General features: G+C 39.6%; 1 protein-coding gene across 4 annotated transcripts in view, besides 6 other annotated features; it reads right to left on the bottom strand.

Moving 5' to 3' along the window:
- KIAA1958 overlaps nt 1–24,619 on the bottom strand; it is a 182,571-nt gene that overhangs the window by 112,287 nt on the left and 45,665 nt on the right. Inside the window, exon 1 of one of the 4 annotated variants that reach the window (XM_011518311.3) lies at nt 11,394–23,481. The exons of the other annotated variants lie outside the window; for them this stretch is intronic. The gene's annotated coding sequence lies outside the window, so the exon portion shown is untranslated. Of the gene's footprint in view, nt 1–11,393; nt 23,482–24,619 lie in introns of those variants that run through there. 4 annotated transcript variants of the gene reach the window in all.
- Nucleotides 5,017–5,524: an enhancer, noted in NCBI's record as "NANOG hESC enhancer chr9:115313867-115314374 (GRCh37/hg19 assembly coordinates)". NCBI's record gives its function as "activates a minimal SCP1, AML or CMV promoter by ChIP-STARR-seq in naive H9 embryonic stem cells {active_cell/tissue: H9 hESC(naive)}" and the evidence as "EXISTENCE:reporter gene assay evidence [ECO:0000049][PMID:30033119]".
- Nucleotides 6,168–6,462: a silencer, noted in NCBI's record as "tiled region #8480; K562 Repressive non-DNase unmatched - State 15:Elon". NCBI's record gives its function as "represses a minimal TATA promoter and a strong SV40 promoter by Sharpr-MPRA in K562 cells {active_cell/tissue: K562}" and the evidence as "EXISTENCE:reporter gene assay evidence [ECO:0000049][PMID:27701403]".
- Nucleotides 8,340–8,891: an enhancer, noted in NCBI's record as "H3K27ac hESC enhancer chr9:115310500-115311051 (GRCh37/hg19 assembly coordinates)". NCBI's record gives its function as "activates a minimal SCP1, AML or CMV promoter by ChIP-STARR-seq in naive and primed H9 embryonic stem cells {active_cell/tissue: H9 hESC(naive and primed)}" and the evidence as "EXISTENCE:reporter gene assay evidence [ECO:0000049][PMID:30033119]".
- Nucleotides 8,892–9,444: an enhancer, noted in NCBI's record as "OCT4-NANOG-H3K27ac hESC enhancer chr9:115309947-115310499 (GRCh37/hg19 assembly coordinates)". NCBI's record gives its function as "activates a minimal SCP1, AML or CMV promoter by ChIP-STARR-seq in naive and primed H9 embryonic stem cells {active_cell/tissue: H9 hESC(naive and primed)}" and the evidence as "EXISTENCE:reporter gene assay evidence [ECO:0000049][PMID:30033119]".
- Nucleotides 9,445–9,996: an enhancer, noted in NCBI's record as "OCT4-NANOG-H3K27ac-H3K4me1 hESC enhancer chr9:115309395-115309946 (GRCh37/hg19 assembly coordinates)". NCBI's record gives its function as "activates a minimal SCP1, AML or CMV promoter by ChIP-STARR-seq in primed H9 embryonic stem cells {active_cell/tissue: H9 hESC(primed)}" and the evidence as "EXISTENCE:reporter gene assay evidence [ECO:0000049][PMID:30033119]".
- Nucleotides 10,628–10,922: an enhancer, noted in NCBI's record as "tiled region #4745; K562 Activating DNase matched - State 5:Enh". NCBI's record gives its function as "activates a minimal TATA promoter and a strong SV40 promoter by Sharpr-MPRA in K562 cells {active_cell/tissue: K562}" and the evidence as "EXISTENCE:reporter gene assay evidence [ECO:0000049][PMID:27701403]".

The following is a 24,619-nucleotide window of genomic DNA, read 5'->3' as shown; positions in this document are numbered from 1 at the left end:
GGTACGTGCCGTTAGTCCCAGCTACTCGGGAGGGTGAGGTGGGAGGATCACTTGAGCCTGGGAGGTTGAGGCTGCAGTGAGCCATGATTGGGCCACTCTGTCTCAAAAAACAAAAACAAAAACAAAACACTGAATGAATACTGAAGGAACAAAAGCAACTGGGTTCTCATGAATACTGTGATCTGAAATATGTCTACCCACCTGTTCTGTCCACCTGTACGCTCAACCTTCTACTTAGCATTGTGTCTCCCTGCCCCACTACCCCCAGCCCAATCTGACAAGAACAGAGGGCACTCCTGCCCATTCAGGATTACATTAAGCATAGCAATGATTCAGAGAGGGGAGGGGTCAACAATCCAACTGCAACACTCCCTAGATTAAAATCTTTCAACAAGTATGCATCGTTTTCATTGCAATCAAACTGACTCAGAAAGCCTGTACAATCTTTTGCCTAGTTCACTAAAGAAACCTAAGTGGGCTGGACTCAGTGGCTCACGCCTGTAATTCCAGCACTTTGGGAGGCTGAGACAGGAAGATTGCTTGAGGACAGGAGGTGGAGAACAGCCTGGGCAACACAGTAAGACCCTATCTCTACAAAAAATTATAATTTTTACAAAGAAGTCTAAGTGAAGAGAGGGCTGTACTATATACAATTTACAACAAAAGTGGAGAGCAAAGCTTGTGAATTAAGTAGGAGTGATGTGAATATGAAAGGGCATGTGTATTTGGTAGCAAAACTTTCAAACCGAACCCCAGTGCCCTTCAAAGAACTCAGCCAGTAGCTACCTGTGTGCAGGCAGCAGACTTTGCCCTGGGTATGGAGGCGTGGTAGAGAGAAACCGAAAGCTGAGTCAACCTTGCAGGTAACAGGGACAGAAATTGACAGCCAGCTGAGGTCTACTTAAGGAAGATGCAAGATGTCATGCAGTATTTTAAACTTCACTTGGTGCTATGGTTTGAATGTATCCCCTCCAAAATTCACGTTGAAACTAATCCCCATTGCGGTTTTAAGAAGTGAAGCTTTTTTTTTGGAGACAGAGTTTCACTCTTGTCCCCCAGGCTGGAGTGTGCAATGGTGCGATCTTGGCTCACTGCAATCTCTGTCTCCCAGGTTTTCAAGTGATTCTCCTGCCTCAACCTCCAAAGTAGCTGGGATTATAGGCACGTGTCACCAGGACCAGCTAATTTTTGTATTTTTAGTAGAGACGGGGTTTTACCATGTTGGCCAGGCTGGTCTTAAACTCCTGACCTCAAGTGATCTGCCCGCCTTGGCCTCCCAAAGTGCTAGGATTACAGGCGTGAGCCACCGCACCGGGTCAAGAAGTGAAGGCTTTTAAAAAGTGATTAAGTCATGAGGGTTCCACTCTTATGAATAGATTAGTGCCTTACAAAAGAGCTGGAGGAAACTAGCTTAGGTCCTTCTGCTATTCGAGCGCACAGCGTCTGTCCCTTTTCTGCCCCTTCTGCCATGCGAGCATACTGTGAGCATACTGTGAGAAGACGAGAAGATGCCATCCATGGAGCAGAAGGCAATGAACCTGCTGGAATCTTGATCTTGGACTTTCCAGCCTCTAGAGATATGAGAAATAAATTTCTGTTCTTTATAAATTACCCAGTCTCAGATATTTTGTTACAGCAGCAGAAAGGAGCTGAGGCACTTGGTTTCCAAGAGGCATTTATCAAGGCAGGAGGGTGAACACCATGATCACCCACTCTGTATAGTGCAATGTCTGTCTTACTTGTTTCTCAACTCTCCCACTTGCCTGGCCTCTGCTCATGGGATCTCAGGAATGTCCATGGCAACTAAAACTATAAATGACACTCACTCTTAATGAGACACTCCTTCAAAATATTGCCTGGAGGTAAGCTCTAAGACAGATGCTCTGTGCCCAGGAGATGGAACAAGCAACCACGCCTACCACCTCCAAACCAGGCCTTGCTGCTCCAGTTTGGGGACAGTCTATGTTCCTTTTGGAAGAACTCACCCACTAATTTTTCTGGGAGGATAAAGTTAGGGGAGAAGACTTTTCTTTGACTTGTGTTAGGTGCTCAGCACTAATTACCTTTCTGTGTCGTCAGAATCTGATTCAATCTTTTTCCCTTCTTGCAGTATTTTTGTTTTTAGTTCTTCTGAAGTCCTCCTTTCTTGTTTTCCAGAGTCCTCACAGATTTTAACTCTTTTTTCTTAGTTGTCATTTCATTTGGTTTTAAGACCCCTGGGCTCAGCTGACTAGGAGCCAATGCACACACTGTAACAGTGGCTCCAAATCAGGCTGTACAGTGAAATCATCTAGGGTTCTTCCAAATCAGGCTGTGCAATGAAACTGCCCAGGGTTCTTCCAAATCAGGCTGTGCAGTGGAATCACCTAGGATTCTTGTTAGAAAATACAGGACCTGTTTCTTAGCTAAACCACAGAGATTCTGAGTCACCGACCAAGAGGTTGGGTTTGGGAATCTGTGTTTTTATCTAGTGTTTGTAGCCAATATAAGAATGTGCATTTGAGAACCATGGTTCTACATAATTTTTAATGATGGATATATTATAATTAACCAATCCTTTACTTTTGGACATTTTGTTTAGCTCTATTCTAATTATTATTATTATTATTGAGATGGAGTCTCACTCATTCTGTCGCCCAGGCTGGAGTGCAGTGGCACGATCTCAGCTCACTGCAACCTCTGCCTCCCGGGTTCAAGCGATTCTCCTGCCTCAGTCTCATGAGTAGCTGGGATTACAGGCGCACACCACCATGCCCGGCTGATTTTTGTATTTTTAGTAGAGATGGGGTTTCACCATGTTAGTCAGGCTGGTCTCAAACTCCTGACCTCGTGATCCGCCCGCCTCGGCCTCCCAAAGTGTTGGGATTACAGACGTGAGCCACCGCACCCAGCCTGTTCTAATTATTAACTAATGTAAGTGCCTTCATGAACATCTTTTTATATTCACGGTTTTTTACATACCTCTATGTCATTTTGATAAATGCTGAGACATAGAATCAAAAGAAGAAATTTCTGTAGTTCTTTTGGTCAAACTGCCTTTAAGCTAGGCTCTGCTGCAGACTGATCCTACTTACAGTACATGATACCATCTATTTCCTACCTCTCTGCCTAGGTATGATGGCATTATTTTTTTCAATCTTTGCTAGTTTTAGAGGTGAAATTATATCTTATTGCTGAACTACTTTATAACTATGAAAATATTTATTCATTCAATAAATATTTCTTGAACACTTATCAGGCCTTGTGAACAATGTGCACAAAAAATAAACATGGTTCTTACTCTCATTTATGTAGAAAGTATCTGATTAATCCCATAATGAAACAAATAAACCTAGTTACTGGTACTCATTATCAACACTGTGTGATAAGTGACGTCATTAGATCTTATAAAGCAGAGATTTGACCTATTTAGAAATGTCTTCAAAGGCTCCCCTGAGAAATTAACAATAAAGATAACAGTACACAGTGTAATGTAGCACTTACTATGTTGTTCCAAGCTCTATTCTAAGCACATCAGAAATATTAACACATTGACCTTTATAAGGCAGTACTATTATTATCTCCATTTTACAGATAAAACTGAGTTGGAAAGTTTAAGAAATGTGTCCAATGTCAAAAAGCTAGTAAATAAGGGAACCAGGGCCAGGTGCGGTGGCTCACACCTGAAATCCCAGCACACTGAAGCAGGAGGATGGCTTGAGCCCAGGAGTTTGATCAAGACCAGCCTGGGCAACACAGCAAAACCTCATCTCTACAAAACAAAAAAATTAGCTAGATGAGCTGTAGTCCCAGCTACTTGGGAGGCTGAAGCCAGGAGGAATGCTTGAGTCTGGGAAGTCAAGGCTACAGTGAGCCAACGATCATACCACTGCACTCTGGCCTGGGTGACAGAGTGAGACCCTGTCTAAAAGTAGGAAAAGAAGGGGAGGGGAGAGGGGAGAGGGGAGAGGGCAGGGGAGGGGAGCAGAGGGGAGGGGAGGGGAGGAGAGGAGAGGACAAGGAGAGGAGAAGAAAGGAAAGGAAAGGAAAAGGGTGTGGAGGGGAGGGCAGAGGATGGGGGAAGGAATCAGGATTCAAACCAAAGTGATCTAACCCGGGGTGAGTACTACTAACCAATGCCATCTCTCAAGTGACATTCCTGAACCCTGTGCGCGCACCAGGCTCAGTGCTCCCCGCTCTTCCCCATCATAAAGGGATGATGTGCTGCACTACTCCAAAGAAATGGCATACAGCTCCATGCCAACTTGAATGGTACACAGCTCCATGCCGACTTGAATTGTACACAGCTGCATGCCAACTTGGAGCTAAGAGTTGTTGAAGATGATCATGAATGGATATCTCCTCCCTCTCGCTTCCTGAGCTGTAGCCAATGTTCCACCCTACACATGCAACCCCAGAATATCTGACTAAGGCACTGGAGAGGGAAAGAGGAGCGTTTTCCTTGTTTTTAAGTGAGTAATCCCAAATTCACTATGTTGATGATTTCTTGCTAATCATCCTGTGTTATAACATATTTGAACATTAAGCATCACTGTTTCACGAGGATGTGAGGAAAAAATATCCACCATTTTCAGTTTTTAAACCTCTCAAGTGAAGAGTGACTGCCTCTTATAATGACCCTCCCTGGCACAGGCCTGGTTCCCACAGGCTGGCAGTCTACTTTTCTATTTATAGTTAACACATTAGGCCTGTGAACACTGAGAGTGGATTACTATGAACACGGTGTAAGCTGACTGAGCATTAGAAATAAGAATGGTAAAGGTTTAAAACCAAAGACTCTTAATCCTCTGTCAGTCCACCCAACTTTGAGAGTTTAAATTATGGCAACTTAAAGAAGCATGTTCCAGAGGTTTCTGTGAGGAACATTTACTCACTTTGGGCCCTGGACATGTAAGTGAACTAAATTCTCTAACAGATTGTTAAGCAAACACTCAATACTCTCACAAATAAAACTACAGGGATCCTCGTGGTCCAGATGTTCATTAACTATGACCCTATAATGATGAGGCAAAAGCTGTCACACACAAAAATATTCACCAATGAGCTGACCAGTCCCCATTCAAACTACCCACCTAGTATCTACTTCTGGGAACCTGTTTATGTCACTCTGATTTTTAGATGCTGGAAACATGAGACTATACAAGTAGGATGAACATAAACTGGAACTATAAACCACCAAAGATGCAGGATTTGAACAAGTCAGTCACTTAACAATGCTAGAGAACTGCTTTAATCACATGCAAAGCCATTTTAACAAAGGAACGTCTGGCAGAGTTAGACCAGATACAATTAGATCAGACAGCAACTGTGGAGAATTCTCAAGGATGATACAACAGGTACTTCAAAAGAGAATGAATTAACTCTCTAAGAACTGAGAGAGGCCCCTGGGAAAACTAGAGAAGCCAAGGGACATTTCTGCAAAAACATCCCTCTCTTCTTGACCTGGTAAAGGATACTGTATTATGTTCTTATATAATTTTGTCAGAAAAACTATGTCCCTAAAATGAGTACTCAAGTCACTTCTTTTACATTTTAAGGATTAGCACAGTTTCAATTATGTAACTTTTGTTGAATATAAGATTTTTAAAAAATACTTTTTACCATCTTCAGTTTATGTTTTCAAATTAAAGCCTGTGCTATATCAGCATTAAATAGGAATAAAATTCTGATACTGGCTAACAACATGGATGAAACTTAAAAGACATTATACTAAGTGCAAGAAGCTAGTTAAAAAGACAAATCCCGTATGATTCCACTTACATATGAGGTGCCTGGGGCAGCCTAATTCAAAGAGACAGGAAGTACAACAGTGGTTACCTGGAGCTGGTGGATCAGGGAATGGGGAGCTATTTTTTAATAACACATCAAATTTTCAGTTTGGGGATGATGAAAAAGTTCTGGAGATGGATGACAGTGATAGTTATATAACATGTGAATGCATTTAATGCTACTGAACTGTACAGTTAAAATTAACATCTTTTATATTATATATATTTTACACAATTTTTAAAAACTCATAGTAAAACAGGGAAAGACAAAACTATAACCTCCCTAACTTAAAAAAAAAAAAAAAACAACTATGCAGTAAAGTGTTAATTCATCAGGCCAAGGTTGCTCAAACCCCATTCATTCAAAGAAAGGAGGACTGACCCATGACAGGCTCCTGAGAGAGAAACTCTTAAGTTTGTGGAATATCTTCCTCATAAGAGTATTTTGCTGGTAGCCTTGAGCCACACTGTACCTGTCTGACCTCTGAGGAGCTGGAGACTGAGTAACTAAGGTCAGTCGCACAGGTTCACACAGGTGATAGGTTCACACAGGTGATACAAGTTTACATGACTGACAAATAAAAACCCTGGACACCTGGGTTGGGTGAGCTTCCCTGGTTGGTAATACTTCACATGTTTTGTCATGCATTGTCGTTGGGAGACATTCCTCATGTGATTCAACTGGGAGGGCCTACCTGGAATCTGACTCCTGGTTCTCCAGGACTTCATCCGTCTGCCTTTTCCCTGCACTGATTTTAATCTGTATTCTTTCGCTGTAGTAACAATAACTGTGAGCATAAACAGCTTTCTGAGTTCTGTGAGTCCTTTTAGTGAATCACAGCCTGAGGTGGTCTTGAGGACCCCAACACAAAGCCCCAGTCAAGTTCCCTCACTCTCTATGATAAAATTTGTATCCCTACTTCAAGTGGGTTCACTTTAAATGCCCCTTCAGTAACAGAATCTGTAGGGGACACATTCAAACCATAGCAGTTATCCTCCCTTACATAGATTCATCAGTGATCCTCACTAGATGGGTAACCCAGAGTTCAGACTTGCTAGAATAGTTATTCTCAGCCATAGTGCTTTACCATTAGTGTCTGCAGATACACTCAGAATGGTTACTAGTTACTTATCAACAGATTTACCTCAAACTCTCCATCAAAGGCTCCAAACAGCCAAAGAGAAGACATCCCAAATTATCAACACGGCTCTGAGGCCTCTAACTCTGAACATTGCCAGGCTTACCTCTCAAGCCTAATTCCTTCCCATTCAAACATTGAGCTCCAGCCACATTAAACTCAGTCCAGTTAGCCAAATCATGGTAACTCAACTCTAGTAGATCTTTGCAAATGCTGCCATTCTTTGGCTGGCAAAACACCTTCCTACTCAAATTTTACAACTTGATTTACAGCAGGATTTCTCAACCTCAGCACTATCAACTTTGTGAGCTAGATAATTATTTGTTGTGGGAGACCATCTTGTGCACTGTAATATGCTTTGCAGCATCTCTACCCACTAGATGCCAGTAGCATACACCCACCTCCAAGTCGTGACAACCAAAAATGTCTCCAGACATTGTTAAATGCTTCCTCCCTTTTCATCCCCATTTGAGAACCACTGACTTAGACTCATTTCTGCAGCTCTTCCCCTCGCCCCACCGAAGGCTTGGTCCATTGCTTCCCTGGAGCCCTATGTTACCCTATTTAAATGTCTACCCCTACCAGAGTATTAGCTCCTTCAGCAGAAGGCTTATGGTTTTATTAATCATTATACTTTCAGCTCCTAGCCCAGTTTCCAGCACACACTGAGGCATCAATAAATACTTGTGGACTAACTAAATGAATAGAACAAAGCAGTGTTGAAAGTCCATAAACAATGAGTGAAGACAAGAAAGTGGGAAGTTAAGGATATACAGAAAACAGCAAACACTTTCATTTCCTTGAGACTAGAATAGGCTAAGGGAAGTAGCAAGATACAAGTTATGAAAAATAATTTGTAATAGTACGGAGAGTTATAAAACCCAAGGGAAATAATCTGAACTTTATTGAGAAAGAGAAATGAGGATATGGAAACATGTTTGTTACAGTCCTTTTCCACAATGCCATTACTGAGTTTATATTATCTGTCAAGCAATATAAAGGTGCATATGTCGTTACCATCTTGAATGAAATATTTTTCTTGACATGTCAGAAAACTAAACACTATATAATCTAGTCATCCAGATATTTGCTATTATGTTTATATAGCTTGCTAGAGCTGCCATAACAAAATACCACAGACAGGATTCCTTAAGCAACAGGAAGTTATTTTTTCACAGTTCTGAATGCTAAAGGTCCGAGACCAAGCTGTCAGCAGGACTGGGTTATCCCAAGGCCTCTCTCCTTAGTTCCTAGATGACTGTCTTCTTCTGGTGTCTTCACATGGTCTTCCCTCTGTGCCTGTACAAATCTCTATCCAAATTTCTACTTCTTATAAGGACACCGGTCATATTGATCAGAGGCCAGCCTAAAGACCTCATTTTAACATAAATTACCTTTTTAAGGACCTTATCTCTAAATATGATTATATTCAGCCCATAGCAATGCTGAGAAATATTTGGAAAAACAAGATGCTGAAATTATTCATTTATTCCAAAAACATTAAGACTACTATGTAGCAAATACTATGCCAAGGCACCAAAGAGTCAATGTTACCTTAAAGATACATTGCTTGTCCTCGCAGAGCTTACAATCTAGTAGCTCAAAATCTAAACAAAACAAGTAACAACAATATAGCCTGATTTGGATATGATGACACAAAGGGTCAAACTATGGAAAATATTTGGAGAGATTTATTCTGAGCCAAATATGAGTGACCATGGCACATGACACAGCCCCAGGAGATCCTAAGAACATGTACCCAAGGTGGTCAGGCTACAGCCTGGTTTCATACATTTTAGGGAGGCATAAGACACCAACCAATACATGTAATATGTATACTGATTTGGTCCAGAAAGGCAGAACACCTCGAAGAGGGTGCTTCCAGGTCATAGGTGGATTCAAAGATTTTCTGAATGGCCGGGCGCAGTGGCTAACACCTGTAACACTTTGGGAGGCCAAGGTGGGCAGACTGCCAGAGCTCAGGAGTTCAAGACCAGCCTGGCAACACAGTGAAACTTATCTCAACAAAAAAATTAGCTGGGTGTGGTGGCGCTTGCCTGTAGTCCCACCTACTTGGGGGACTGAGGTGGGAGGATTGCTTGAGCCCAGGAGGTTGAGGCTGCAGTGAGCCAAGATGATGCCACTCCAGCCTGGGAGAAAGGGCAAGACCTTGTCTCCAAAAAAAAAAAAAAAAAAAAAAAAAAAGATTTTCTGACTGGCAATTGGTTGAAAGGGTTAAGCTATTATCTACAGACCTGGAATCAACAGAAAGAAAAAAGTATCTGGGTTAAGATAAGAGGTCCTGAAGCCCAAGGTTTTTATAATGCAGATAAATCCTCCAGGCAGCAGGCTTCAGAGAGAATAGATTGTAAATGTTTCTTAATCAGACTTAAAAAGGTGCCAGAGACTGTTAAGTTAATTCTCTCCTGGACCAGGGAAAGATCTGGAAAGGGAAGGAATTTTCTACAGAATGTAGATTTTCCCCACAAGAGACAGCTTCGCAGGGTCATTTCAAAATATGTCAAAGAAATATATTTTGGGGTAAAATACTTCAATTTCTTTCAGCGCCTTCTGTCGTGTTGGTATCTTACTGCTACAAAGAGTCTGTTTTGTCAGTCTTAAGGTCTCTATTTTAATGTTAATGCTGGCCAATTGTGTCTGAACTCCAAAGGAAGGAGGGTATAATGAAGCATGTCTGACTCCCCAACCCCGCATCATGGCCCGAACTAGTTTTTCAGGTTAACTTTGGAATGCCCTTGTCCCAGAAAAGGGGTCCGTTCAGTTAGTTGGGGAGACTTAGAATTTTTTTTTTTTTTTTTTTTTTTTGAGACAGAGTCTTGCTCTGTCACCCAGGCTGTGGTGCAGTGGCACAACTGTGGCTCACTGCAACCTCCATCTCTTGGATTCAAGTGATTCTCAGGCCTCAGCCTCCTGAGTAGCTGGGACCACAGGCACGCACCCCACTCCCAGCTAATTTTTTGGTATTTTTAGTAGAGATGGGGTTTCGCCATGTTGGCCAGGCTGGTCACAAACTCCTGGTCGCAGGTGATCTACCCGCCTCGGCCTCCCAAAATGCTGGGATTACAGGAGTGAGCTACCGCGCCAAGCCAGGGAGTGGTGGCATGCGCCTGTGGTCCCAGCTACTTGGGAGGCTGAGGCAGGAGAATCGCTTGAACCCAGGAGGCGTAGGTTGCAGATCACACCACCACACCCCAGCTTGGGCAGCAGACGGGACTGTCTCAAAAAATATATATATATACATATTTCTTATTTCTGGTTTACAACTCTGGTAGGAAAGCTCAGGGTGTCAAGGAGCACAGAGAGGCAGTAGCTAACCTAGTTCCCAACGAGTCAAGGAGTGCTTCCTAGAGAAAAGACGAGTTCATACTTGAAGGATAACCATGATTAAATTACACAGGGCAGAGAGAGTGAGAGTATTCCAGGTAAGAGAGGACATAGAACTCTGAGAAACATAAAATTCAGTACAGCAGAAGCATGTAATATACAACAATCATAATATTTGTTCAATTCAAACTATATTCCTTTCTACAGGGCAAACCTCAAAATTGGAGTTCAGTTTGGGAGGCCACATGGGTTCATGGCTTCACACAGGAAGGAATTCAAGAGCCAGCAGACAGAGTAAAGTGAAAGCAAGTTTATTAAGAAAGCACTGCACTCCAGCCTGGGCAACAGAGTGAGACTCTGTCTCAAAAAAAAAAGGCAAAGGAATAAAAGAGTGGCAGCTGCATAGGAAGAGCAGCTGTGATGGCTGCTAGTTGGCTATTTTTATGGTTTTTCTTAATCATATGCTAAACAAGGGGTGAATTATTCATAAGTTTTCTAGGAAAGGGGCAGGGAATTCTTGGAACTGAGGGTTCCTCCCCCATCAGACCATATATGGTAGCTTCCCTACATTGCCATGATGACTGTAAACTGTCAGAGTGCTAGTGGGGGTTTCCTCTAGTATGCTAATGTATTATAATTAGCATATAATGAGCAGTGAGGACAACCAGAGGTCACTTTCATTGGCATCTTGGTTTTGGCGGGTTTTGGCCAGATTCTTTACCTCATCCTGTTTTCTCAGTGGGGTCTTTATGACCTGTATCATGTGAAACCAGTCCTGCAGAACTCCTATCTCATTTCTAGGTCATCAATATTACACAAATTTGCCAGCCTCAAAATAAGTATAAATTTAGCTAACTCAAGGACACTCTACTACTAGATGCTCTAAAATGCCTTAAGATCAGGAGAGACTCACAAAGCATCTGACAAGTTTATGTATTTCATACATCAATAATATCCAAATCAATAAAGGCCAAGATCCAAGAATGGCAGCCATTATTCTTTGAAATTCACTAAAAAAAAAAAAAAAAAAAAACAAAGAAACCTGTGTATCACTAAAGAAATATTTATCTAAAAATGCTAAGACAAATCTTTCATGAATATGGGACCCAAAAAGAAAATAAAAAACAACAAAAGTGCTAACCAGACCAGAAGTCTGCCTTTCCAATTCATCTCCCAGATGCTCTGTAAGTAGAAAAACTCCCTCCTGGCAAATAGCACGAATCCTAAGTGTTAAAAAGACATGTTTCAAAGGGATGATAGCATTTCCATTTACATGTATTTTTCTGCTGCTAAATAAGTGATAAATGTCAAGTAAAATATGATCATTTCATATGTTCAAAAAAAGTACAAAAATATACATATTTTAATAGAATGGCATATAACAAGAAAAGCCAAACCCTGACTTGACAGTTTCTTCCTTTCCAGTCTTATTCTTTTTCCCATTCTCCCTCAATATGGTTTAAATTCTGACTTCATTACAAGTACCTAAGTTCATACATAAGCAAAGCAATTTACCATGCAGTCAAAAGGTGAATATAGGTACTGATGGGGAACTTAACAGTAAAAGACATCAATGACCCACAGTATTATACTCCAAGATCTTAAAGATCATCAGGTAACAACCGTTTCTGTGACCACGTACACATTTTATTTTCTGCAAAACAAGCAGATTTGGGATCATTAATGGAGGTCAACGGTAGACCAGAAAAACTAAGGATGAAACTTTAAAAGGTCATGATGATTCTGGAAGTTTCTGTTTGAATTCACAAATGACCAGTATCAATAGTCCTTGAGGTTTTATAAGTACCTTAAGAGTCTGAGCCCTCACATTAATGAACTGAATCCTAAGCAGAGTTTTTGATCGCTGGGGCACTCAGGATTTCAGAAACAATACATTTAAAAATAAGATTAATATGATGGTATAGTGTGGAAAGTTAAAATTAAAAAAAAAAGATTAAAAATTAGATTGTAGCTGGGGAAAATTTCTTTTCCTAAGATGAAGTTTCACTGCTTTGAAAAGTAGAAGTGTCTCTTGAAAAAGCCTCCAAGGCAAAAATAATGGCAGCACATCCTCTACATTTCCTTGGTCAGCTGCTTTCCTATATAGCAGTCTCCGGTATACTGAAAGCCAACATGTGGAAATGTATAAGTTGCAGAGCTTAACAAACACACTTAAGAAAAATTAGTCATTTCCACTGACCTTGACTCTCTCCAGGATGGCAGAGTAGATTACAGAGCTCTGACTTTTAATGTGCTTAACAGATTCAGCAACTGGGGGCTGCCCCCTAAATAGTCACATGACTTTGAGCAAGTCCCTTCACCAATCCTGACTTATTTATTTATTTATTTATTCATAACTGAACCATTAACTGAACACCTATTCTCTTCTAAGCACTGTGCTGTGTCAGAAATACAGCATTAAATAAGATAGATGTGGTCCCTATTCCCACTGAATTTAAAGTCTAGCTAGAAATGCCAACAACTAAGCAATTACAAAATAGCATGGCATGAGTTATAGTGCGAAAGCAATTAGAACTCTGAGTTTTTCATGAGTAAAACAAAAGGATTGAATAGTGGTCTCGCAGGGCCCTCTCAGATCTGACATTCATTCAAGTCTAATAGTACAGAAAAATTTTGAAACTTTTCAAATCACTAAACATTTTCCCTCCACTTTACAGTAAAGAAGGCTACAGATAAGAAAAGGGCTAAACAATGAATCTAGTATTCTGTGAAGCTGTGGGGAAAGAGGATTTTAGTGCACAAAGGTTGGATATACAAGAAAAAAGGGCATCTTTACTAAGACAATAGAGACATAGACAAGGCTTACCATCCATATCCTTTAGTTAATGGGCAAAATAGCAATACAAATAAAAGGAAAATAGATAGTTCCATGACAGACATTTCATATATGTATTCATTAAAAACAAACTTTAGGCATCTTCTACACACAATAAATTGTGCTAGATGCAATAGCACAGCAAATATAAATTGGACATGGGTATTGACTTTAAGAAGCTCAGAACTGTGGGAGGCCGAGGCGGGTGGATCATCTGAGGTCGGAAGTTCGAGACCAGCCTGACCAACACGGAGAAACCCTATCTCTACTAAAAATACAAAATTAGACAGGCATGGTGGCGCATGCCTGTAATCCCAGCTACTCAGGAAGGCTGAGGCAGGAGAATCACTTGAACCTGGGAGGTGGAGGTTGAGGTGAGCCGAGATCATGCCACTGCACTCTAGCCTGGGCAACAAGAGCAAAACTGGGTCTCAAAAAAAAAAAAAAAAAAAAAAGAAGCTCAGAAGCTCAATGGTAAAGTGGTAAAGTTAATGATAAAATTAAGCATTTTACAAATTCCTTTGTACAAACCTCAGAAAACTAATATCCCACACAAAACACCATATAACCAAGGTGTCAGCAAGATCTGGCCCACTCAGCATCCATTTACTAATGGTTATTAGTGGTTAATATTTTGCTCAGAGATACATGTGAAGTTGATGGTTACTTCTGAGTGCCCATAAAATGTTAAGTCCAAATATTTTACTAATATTTGAACTTCTGGTTTTTCCAAAAAATGTGCACCCACAATGTGTTTTACTGCTGCTTTAAAACAAACAAACAAACAAACAAACAACAACAACAAAAACAAATAGGCTAAGAAATTTGGGTTGTTACTGGCAGTAAGCCTCTGGGTGAGCACTATTCAAGCTGCTCAGAGCTTTGATCTGCTCAAGATAGATCCAGGTCATGAAGAATGCTTGATTTATGAGATCTGTGAGTAGCAAACTGTCTAAAGCCTCAGAATTTCTTTTCTGAAATACCAAAACAAAATGAAGTGAGGAACTCCCGAAGCAAGCCATGTAATTTTCCAGTTTCTATTATGAGTAAACTTAAACTTGTATCATTTTGCACATGGTAACTACACTAAACTCTTCAGCCCCAAAATACTGCCTGCCATACCAGTCTCACCAGCCTGAGCACCTGTGGTCCTTAAATCTCATGCAGTGGCTTGCAGGCCTTCCTTCTAACAAGAACCTTTATTTCTTTAGTGTTATTAATCAGTCTGTTCTGAACACTCAGCCCAGCTGTTTTCAATATCCCCCTCTTTTTGTCTTGGTTTTCCCAGGGCAGATGCAGTAATAAATAATGGTTCATCTCATGCAGAGAGAGAGGGCTCTAAATTAATTTGCCAAGAACTATTCACTAGGAGCCAATTCATAAATAGATCAATTCACTGAAGATACCAAATTTATACTTTTTCACTTTTCGAAGATTTCAGTGAAATTTTAGTAGAATGATTTACACTCTGCTTCATAGCAGGATTTTAAAAACTAATTTGTAAAATGCAAAGAGTTGTAGAGTAGTTTAGTCTTCATATGAATATATTCTTTGTGAAAATATTCAATAAATGTGAATATTTTCTTTATAATGATTATATTCATGAATATATCCTCTTTATGAATATATTCATGAATATATTCTTCTTTACCCTATTGGGAAAACTTTTTAATACAGTTTAAAATTAATGAACATGAATATATTCATGAACATTTCCATAAGTTTATATTCATATTCATGAGCTATGTTCTTGACCATATTGGGACATTTTAAACCTGGTTTAAAATTTAATAAAGATCAATATATCATTAAGAACATATTCATATTTTCATCAGCATATTTTCATATTCATGGTCTGTACTCTTGACCATATTGGGAAATATGAACTCAGTTTAAAATATGACAAATATCAATAGATTTATTAAGAGTACACTCATATTCATTCCACAAAAGTATACTTGCAAGGCAACTAACCCATCTAGTAATTTTAACCTTTAACAAAACGAACGTTCCTTAAAGCAGTGCTAAGAAAAATATATTTGCTTATTTTTGGCAAATAGGCATACTTCCTTGTAGAAGAGCTCTTATCTCCAACACACATCGGCCCCAAGATTTATTCAGTGAAACTCTTTTGGGCACATGCCAGTGATGTCCCAGTATTTCTCAGATCTCACAGGCTCTGTAACATCTGTTTTTGTTGTTTTATTCTTTTTTTTTTGAGACGGAGGCTCACTCTGTCACCAAGGATGGAATGCATTGGTGCAATTTCGGTTCACTGCAACCTCTGCCTCCCGGGTTCAAGCAATTGAATCCTCAGCCTCCCGAGTAGCTGGGATTACAGGCACCCACCACCATGCCCAACTATTTTTTCTTGTATTTTCAGTAGAGACAGGGTTTCACCATGTTGGACGGGCTGGTCTCGAACTCCTGACCTCTGGTGATCTGCCCACCTCAGCCTCCCAAAGTGCTGGGATTACAGGCGTGAGCTGCCATACCCAGTCTTTGTTGTTTTATTCTAACATACTGATTTGGTATACATCTAGGACTAACAGGGTTTTTGCCTGAATGTAAGAACTTCTATCAGTCCTGTGGGCTGATTATCACCCTCTACCTTTGGGTATTATTTTTGCTCTACATTTTAGGATTGCTTTTCTTAATTTTTTTTTTTTTTCATTTAATTTTCTGATTTGGATACTCTGTTTCACTCAACTATTTTAATGTTAGATGAAAATGTCCTTAACCCAATCAATAATATTTATCAAAAAACATAAAACTTTGAAACTGAAACAAGACTGCCATTAAAAATTTAAAACAAGGACGCTTACTCCCATCATCATTCAAAATTGTTCCAGATATTCTAACCTATGCAATAAGCCAAAAATATTGGAAAGGAATCATAAAACCAGCATTACCTCCAGATGATACCACTGTTTACCTAGAAAAAAAGTAATGGATCAAAAAGAAACCACATCAAAATTAATAAACATAGATTATGAAACTCCAGGCCAGGCTCGGTGACTCACCCCTGTAATCCCAGTATGTTAGGAGGTGGGGGTGGGCCAACCGCTTGAGCCAGGAGTTCAAGACCAGCCCAGGCAACACAATTAACTCTGTCTCTACAAAAAATAAAAAATAAAAAAAAATTATCCAGGTGTGGTGGCAACCTGTAGCCCTAGCTACTCAGGAGGCTGAGATGGGAGAATCACCTAATCCCGGGAAGTCGAGGCTACAGTGAGCCATAATTGTGCCACTGCACTTCCAGCCTGGGTGACAGAATGACACCCCGTCTCAAAAAAAAAAACAAAAAGGAAAGAAAAAGAAATTCCAAACAGCCTAGAAATTTAACTTAAACAAAAGCAAAAGGACTAGAAAAATAATTTCATGATTTTGAAATGTTTAAGGCATTTTTCTGCTTATTAAGTGTTACTAAAATTTTTAAATATGTAAATATTTTAAATATTACAATAATGTGATCACAGAAAACATTCTGGTGGAGTTTTTACCCCCGATTTTTTATTACTATCAAACACAGATAAAATTTGACAGACTAGTAAAATAACTATCCATATAACCCCCACATAGAGTCAACAATTGTTACATTTGGCCATCTTTGCTTTATCTATCCATCTATATGTGTGCATACATATGTGTATATATGTAATTATGTATGCATACATGCTGTCTTGTTGAATCATTTGAAAGTAAATTAGAGATACGACACATCATGGCTTTCTATTTAAATACAGGTTGTTTTCTTTTCCTAAATTTCATTGCTACCTCCTTCCCCTCGAATCCCTCTTTCCCCATATCAGCACCCTCCTATCTTGATAACCCAAACTGGCAACCTATCATATATCCTTCCATATTTATTCCATGCTCATATGTCACTATTTTACAAAATAATGCATATTGCTTTCCTTATTGAAATGTACCTTGGAGAACTCCTTTAAAGTCAATTAACATAATCGTAATTTGTTTTCAATAACAACTTCATTAAAACATATTTCACATATCATAAATATATGTATTTACAGCCCAGCACGGTGGCTCAGGCCTGTAATCCTAGTACTTTGGGAAGCTGAGGCAGGTGAATCATTTGAGGTCAGGAGTTCAAGACCAACCTGGCCAACATGGTGAAACCCCGTCACTCAAAAAATAGAAAAAATTAGCCAGGCATGGTGGGGCATGCTTGTAATCCCAGCTACTCAGGAGGTTGAGGCAGGAGAATCACTTGAACCCTGGACGCAGAGGTTACAGTGAGCCAAGATCGTGCCACTGCACTCCAGCCTCGGTGACAGAGGGAGACTCCATGCACCCAACCCCCACCCCCGCAAAAAAAATATATATATATACTTTTAAGTACAATTCAATGGTTTTTTATAAATTCATAGGCTGTGCAAATCTGACTTTAGAATCACAATCAATTTTAGAACATCTTCATGACCCTAAAAAGAAACCTCCTGCCCATTAGCATTTATACCTAATTACCCCCTCCCAACCCCACTCTAAATCATAACAACCACTCATCTACACTGAGTCTCTACAGACTGGTCTATGCTACCCATTTCATGAAAATGAAATATGTAGTCTTTTATAACTTGATTCTTTCACTTAGCATAATGTTTTCAAGGTTAACCCATATGGTAGCATGTATCCTTTTTATGTCCAAATAATATTCCATTGTGTGGAGAAACCACATTTCATTAATCCCTTCATCAGCTGATAGACATCTGGGTTGTTTCTACCTTCTGTTATCAATAATGCTACTATGAGAATTCACACACAAGTTTTTATGTGGACAAATGTTTCCAATAGTCTCAGGTATAAACCTAGGAGCTGAACTGCTGTGTCATATGGTAACTCTATGTTTAACCATTTCAGGAAATGCTAGACTGTTTTCCAAAGCAGTTGCATAATTTTAAACTTCTACTAGTGATGTATGAGAGTTCCAATTTCTCTACATCCTTGTCAACACTTGTTATTGTCCATCTTTTTATTACAGCCACCCCAGTGGGTGTGAAGTGGTACTTCATTGTGGTTTTGATTTGCATTTCCCTATGACTGATGCTGCTGAACATCTTTTTAGGTGCTTATTGACCATTTGCATATCTTCACTGGAAAAATGCCTTTTTGTTGAGTATCATAAGTTTTTTGTGAGGATCAATGATTTAATACTGTAAAACACTTAGAAGAGTGCCTGGCACACAGTAAGCACCCAATAAATCTCAGATAATATATTAATATAGTACTGTTATCATTACTGATTATTCAGTTCCTCTAGATTCAATACTCTTAAGGATATACTGAAATGCCTCACAATAGCTGAACTTTTACCAAGTTCACCTTATATTACTAATAGTTTTTGTTTTATGTTTTTGCCTGATATGATACTTGATGCTATTTGGTTCATACATGATCATAAATTGTGCCCCTTATCAGTATATAATGTCTGTCTTTACCTCATTTAGTGCCTCTAACCTGAAATCCACTTTGTCTAATGCTGTTCTGCTTTGAGGAAATTTGTTTTTGTTTTTCACTATTTTCCTGCTCTTTCATTTCTGCTTTATTTTCACCTACTCATTTTGCTTTGAGAAGTGCTTATAAACATTATTCTCCAGAGGTTTATTTAGTTCAGTCTGACACATCTTTTTTTTCTTTCTTTCTTTTTTTTGAGACAGGGTCTTGCTTTGTCACCCAAGCTGGAGTACAGCGGCACAACCAAGGCTCACTGCAGCCTCGACCTCCTGGACTCAAGCAATCCTCAAGCAATCCACCTCAGCCTCCAGAGTAGCTGGGACTACAGATGCATGCTATCACTCCTGGCTATTTTTATTTATTTTTATTTTTTATTTTTTGTAGAGATGGGGTTTCCCCATGTTGCCCAGGCTAGTCTCGAACTCCTGGGCTCAAGATACCCTCCTGCCTTGGCCTCCCATAGAGCTGGGATTACGGGTGTGAGCCACCCGTGCAACCTGACATGCCCTTTTTAATGGCAAAATTCAGTCTGCTCACATTTAGCCTAATAATTGATACAATGATCTTATTCCTTCCCCTTACTTTTATTATTGTATAATGTTTCCTCTTCTTCCCTCTATTTGTGTTGGGCTAGTCAAACTGCCATTCTTTCCAACTTTTTTCTTTTGTTAATGTGAAAATTTTCCTAAATTTCTCCATTCAAATAATAGTTTCATTTTCCCTGCTCTAAATATTATCTGAAAACAGGATGCCAATTATTTCCCCAACTTTGAGAGTGGCCTGGATACAGCGATAGATAACTGAAATAACTGCCAAAGAATTTTCCTAAGTGGTTATCACACTAATTCCTATTTCCACCAGCATGTAAGAGCACTCCTGTTGCTCCATATCTTTGTCAACCTTGCATATCATCAGATTTTGAATTTTAGCCATGCTGGCAGGTGTACAGTAATAGTATCCTACTGAGGTTTTAATTTTCATTTTCCTGATGACTAATGATGTTAAGCATCTTACTGGTCAATTAGATATCTTTTGAGAGCATATTTTCTATTTGGTTGTCTATCTTAGCCTTACTGATTTATAGAAACTCCTTAAAGATTCTAGATATGAACGCTTTATTAGTTATATTTGTGAAATATCTTGTCCTGGCCCAGCGCAGTGGCTCACGCCTGTAATCCCAGCACTTTGGGAGGCAGGCGGATCATTTGAGCTCAGGAGTTCAAAACCAGCTCAGTCAACATGGTGAAACTCCGCCTCTACTAAACATATAAAAAATTAATCGGGTGTGGTGGCTTGTGCCTGTAGTTCCAGTTACTCGGGAGGCTGAGGCGGGAGAATCACTTGAACCTGGAAGGCAGAGGTTCCAGGGAGCCAAGATTGCACCACTGCACTCCAGCCTGGGCGACAAAGGGAGACTCTGTCAAAAAAAAAGAAAGAAAAGAAAAGAGAAGAGAGGAGAAGAGGGGAGGGGAGGGGAGGGGAGGAAATACCTTGTCCCACTTTGTGTCTTCTTGCTTTTCACTCTTCTTACTGATAACTTTTAATAGAGTCTCTAATATTAAAGTAGTCCAATTTATAAACTTTTCCTTGATGATGACCATTTCTTGTTCTTATTTGAGATATTTGTTCCTGCTCCCAAGGTAGGCATGTTAGCTTCTTAAATCTTTATTATTATTTTTTATCTTCAACATTTGGATCTAAAATTCTACTTGGAATTTATTTTAGTGTATGATACAAGATTGGGTTTTTTGTTCTGTTTTGTTTCAGGAGACAGGGTCTTGCTCTGTTGCCCAGGCTGGAGCGCAGTGGCTCAATCATAGCTCACTATGGCCTCAAACTCTTGGGCTCAAGCAATCCTCACCTCAGCCTCCCAAGTAGCTGGGACTACAGACATGCACCACCACGCCCAAGTAGTATCCATTTATTTTTTTCCCATATGAATATCTAATTGACTTGCACCATTTATTGGTAAGACATAGATGTGTGGGTCTGTTTCTGGACTTTCTGTACTATTGGTCTATTTACCCATCCTTGCACACCCCTTTTTAATTATACAACTTAACAAGAAATTTGGACACCCTATAGAGCAGGGTTCAGCAAATTATAGCCTGCAAGCCACGTAGCCTGCAAAGTCTAAAATATTTGATATCTTGTCTTTTATTGAAAAAGTCTGCTGAGTATTCTATAGGCTAAATCCTAACTCCTCTAACTTTGTTCTTCAAGATTGCCTTCACTGTTCTTGGCCTTTTGTTTACCCATATAAGTTTTATTTATTTATTTGAGAAAGGGTCTTGTACTGTTTCTAAAAATAAAAAAATATTGAGACTAAGCTTATCCAAAGATCCACAATTTCCTGGTCTTCACTCTGTGGCTTGGTCTCTAAAATGTTCATGGGAAAGAAAGTCCAGTGCCAGTTTCTTTTACATTCACTTCCAGTAGAGAGCCAGGGACTTCAGTTACATTAGCCACTCATTGAACCCAGAGGTCAATTAACAGAGCGGAGATGAGAATGGAAGGAAGGGAGCCACATTCCATTATGTTCATCACATTCATAAATTCTTTTCTCCTTATGTATGACAATATGACACAATCCACCAGAGCCATGAAGAAAAAGTCAGAACTGACTAAAACAATGTTGACAATTCCTCAACAGTAAAAATCACAACCAAGTCACAAATGGCCAACAGGTAGATGAAAAAAAGTGTTCAACATCACTAATCATCAGGAAAGTGCAAATTAAAACCACTAGGAGATAATATCTCATGCCTGTTAAAAAAAAAGCTACATCAAAAAGGATGAAAGACAGCAAGTGTTGTTTAGGTTGTGGGGAAAAAAAAAGAGAACCCTTGTACACTGTTAGTGAAAATGCAAATTGGTATAGCCATTATGGAAAAGAGTATGAAAAAATATTAAAAATAGAACTCCCATATGATCCAGCAATTCTACTTCTGGGCATATATCCAAAGGAAATGAAATCAGTATGTCAGAGATACTGCACCCCCATGTTCACTGCAGCATTATCCACAACAGCCAAGACATGGAAGCAGCCTAAGTGTGCATCAACAGATGAATGAATAAAAAAAAAATGGTATATTTATACAATGGACTGCTAATAAGCCTTAAAAAAAAGAAATCCTATCATTTGTGACAACATGGACGAATCTTATAAACATTATGCTAGTTAAAAGAAGACAGGCACAAAAAGACAAATACCACATGGTCTCACTTACATGTGGAATCTAAAAAAGTTGAACTCACAGAAGCAGAAAGTGGAACAGTGGTTACCAGAGGCTGTGCAGTGGGATGACTGAAAAAATGGTGGTCAAAGGATATAAAATTTCAGTCAGACAGGAGGAATAAGTTCAAGAGCTTTATTGTACAATATTGTCACTATAGTTTATATCGTACACTTGAAAACTGCCGAGAGATTTTAAGTGTTCCAACCATAAAAAATAAATGTGTAAGGTAATAGAGATGTTACTTAGTTTAATTTATCCTTTCTACAATGCATACATGTATCAAAACATCATGTTGTACACCATAAATATATACAATTTTTATTTGTCAATTAAAAAAATTAACACACAACAAAGTCAAGAGACATAAACAAAATAAAAGAACCCTGGGAAAATATTTGAGTAATTTTTCAAGAGGTTGTCTCCTTAAAATATACAGAATTTTCATAAATCAATAAGAAAAAGATTGGCCGGGCACAGTGGCTCACGCCTGTAATCCCAGCACTTTGGGAGGCCGAGGCGGGCAGATCACCTGAGGTCAGGAGTTTGAGACCAGCTCGGCCAACATGGAGAAACCCCATCTCTAATAAAAATATAAAAAATTACCTGGGCATGGTGGTGGATGCCATAATCCCAGTTACTCAAGAGGGTGAGGCAGGAGAATCGCTTGAACCCGGGAGGCGGAGGTTGCAGTGAGCCAAGATTATGCCACCACACTCCAACCTGGGCAATAAGAACGAAACTCCATCTCAAAAAAAAAAAGAAAAAAGAAAAAGATGAATATCCCAATATAAATACTGGCAAAAGATACAAACAAGTATTTCACAGTAGGAAAAAACATCAACGAATGCTCACAAAATGTATTTGAAAATACACAATCTTACTAATTAAAAATGCAAATTAATATACCCTGACATCATTTTTTGGCTGACTAGAATGATACTAAAACGTGCAATAATAATCAGTGCTGATGGCAAAAATGAGCAGTGGAAGGCCATCTCATCCACTGTTGGTCCTTTCATTCTGACATGCCTCTGCTAGACGCTAGGCTCCTTTGGTGACAAGATATACGCATGGATATGCAGCTTTCTGAACAGTAATCTTGAGACATGTATAATAATCTCTTACTATGAGCTAGGCACAAGTCCAAGCTCTATGTCATGACACAGGTACTTCTGCTATTCCCCACTTTACAGATGAGGAAATGAAGGCACAAAGAGGTTAAGTAACTTGCCTAAGGTTACAGAGCTAGGAAATGGTGAGGCCAGGCTTCAAACTCAAGCCAATGACTCCAAGGCTCTGTACTTAGCAGCTATGTTCTACTGTCTCTCTTGCACATATTTTACAGTATGTATACTCACAGACCCAGCAATTCTTTCAGGAAGTCATCCATTGATATGGTTTGGCTGTGTCCCCACCCAAAATCTCAGCTTGAATTGTAATCCCCATAGTCCCCACAATCCCCACGTGTCAAGGGCAGAACCAGGAAGAGGTAATTGGATTACGGGGGCTGTTTCCCCCATGCTGTTCTCATGATAGTGAATGAGTCTCACAAGATCTGATGATTTTACAAATGTCTGCCATTTCCCCCGCCTGCACTCATTCTATCTCCTGCCACCCTGTGAAAAGGTGCCTTCCACCATGATTTTAAGTTTCCTGAGGTCTCCCCAGCAATGGGAAACTGTGAGTCAATTAAACCTCTTTTCTTTTTTTTTTTTTTTTTTTTTTTTTGGGATGGAGTCTCGCTGTGTCGCCCAGGCTGGAGTGTGGTGGCGCGATCTTGGCTCACTGCAAGCTCCGTCTCCCGGGTTCACGCCATTCTACTGCCTCCGCCTCCTGAGTAGCTGGGACTACAGCACCCACCACCACGCCTGGCTATTTTTTTTTTCTTTGTATTTTTAGTAGAGTGGGGTTTCACCGTGTTAGCCAGGGTGGTCTCGATCTCCTGACCTCATGATCCACCTGCCTCGGCCTTCCAAAGTGCTTCGGATTACAGCACTTTGGAAGTGAGCCACCGTGCCTGGCCAAACCTCTTTTCTTTATAAATTACCCAGTTCGAGGTACTCCTTCACAGCAGCATGAGAACAGATTAATACATCCCTTAAAAAATTAGAGACTTTATATATATAAGAATACTCACTGACGCATTACTTAAAATGGTGGAAAGTGGACATACTATTGAGTGAAAATGCAGATTATACATAGATACACACATATTTTATAAATCTGGAAGGGTATACTTAAATTTGGGGGGAGGAAGGTAAGATTATTGAAGAGCTTTCATTTTTGCTGTACTACCTGAATATTTTATAATCAGGTATCTGAAAAAAAAATATACATTTAAAATTCATATTAAAATGCTTTATTATATGGTAGATTATTATTTTTCAATTTGGAAAGTTTTGTAAACAGATGGCCAAGTTTTGTTGCACTGATTTTCAAGGGCTATTTGAGAGCCATTATTAAGAAAAGAGGCATTACCATTGAGTACAGTTCTTGAATATCATCTTAGTGTACTGCTAAATCCCATTATGAAGAATTCATGGGCAGTCTGCTGAAAGGTACACTAGCTTATACCACACACAGCAGTACACTAACAAACTGGAGGAACTAATCCCAGTAACACCATGAAATGAGACGACTTGAATGCTGGCCCAGTTTTTGATGTTGCAATCCTAACTCCAGAGCTGGACTACCAGTGCTGTGGTAATCCCACTACTGTTTTATACACACATCAGAACCTTCTATTACAACAGTCTCCCTCCAGGAAACAGTCAAAGAAAGGATCACTCCAGTCCCTATTCTCTTGCATGCAATGAT

The sequence above is a fragment of the Homo sapiens genome, chromosome 9, assembly GCF_000001405.40.
Source record: "Homo sapiens chromosome 9, GRCh38.p14 Primary Assembly".
Classification (NCBI taxonomy): Eukaryota; Metazoa; Chordata; class Mammalia; order Primates; family Hominidae; genus Homo; species Homo sapiens.
This window is presented reverse-complemented; position numbering and strand designations above follow the sequence as displayed.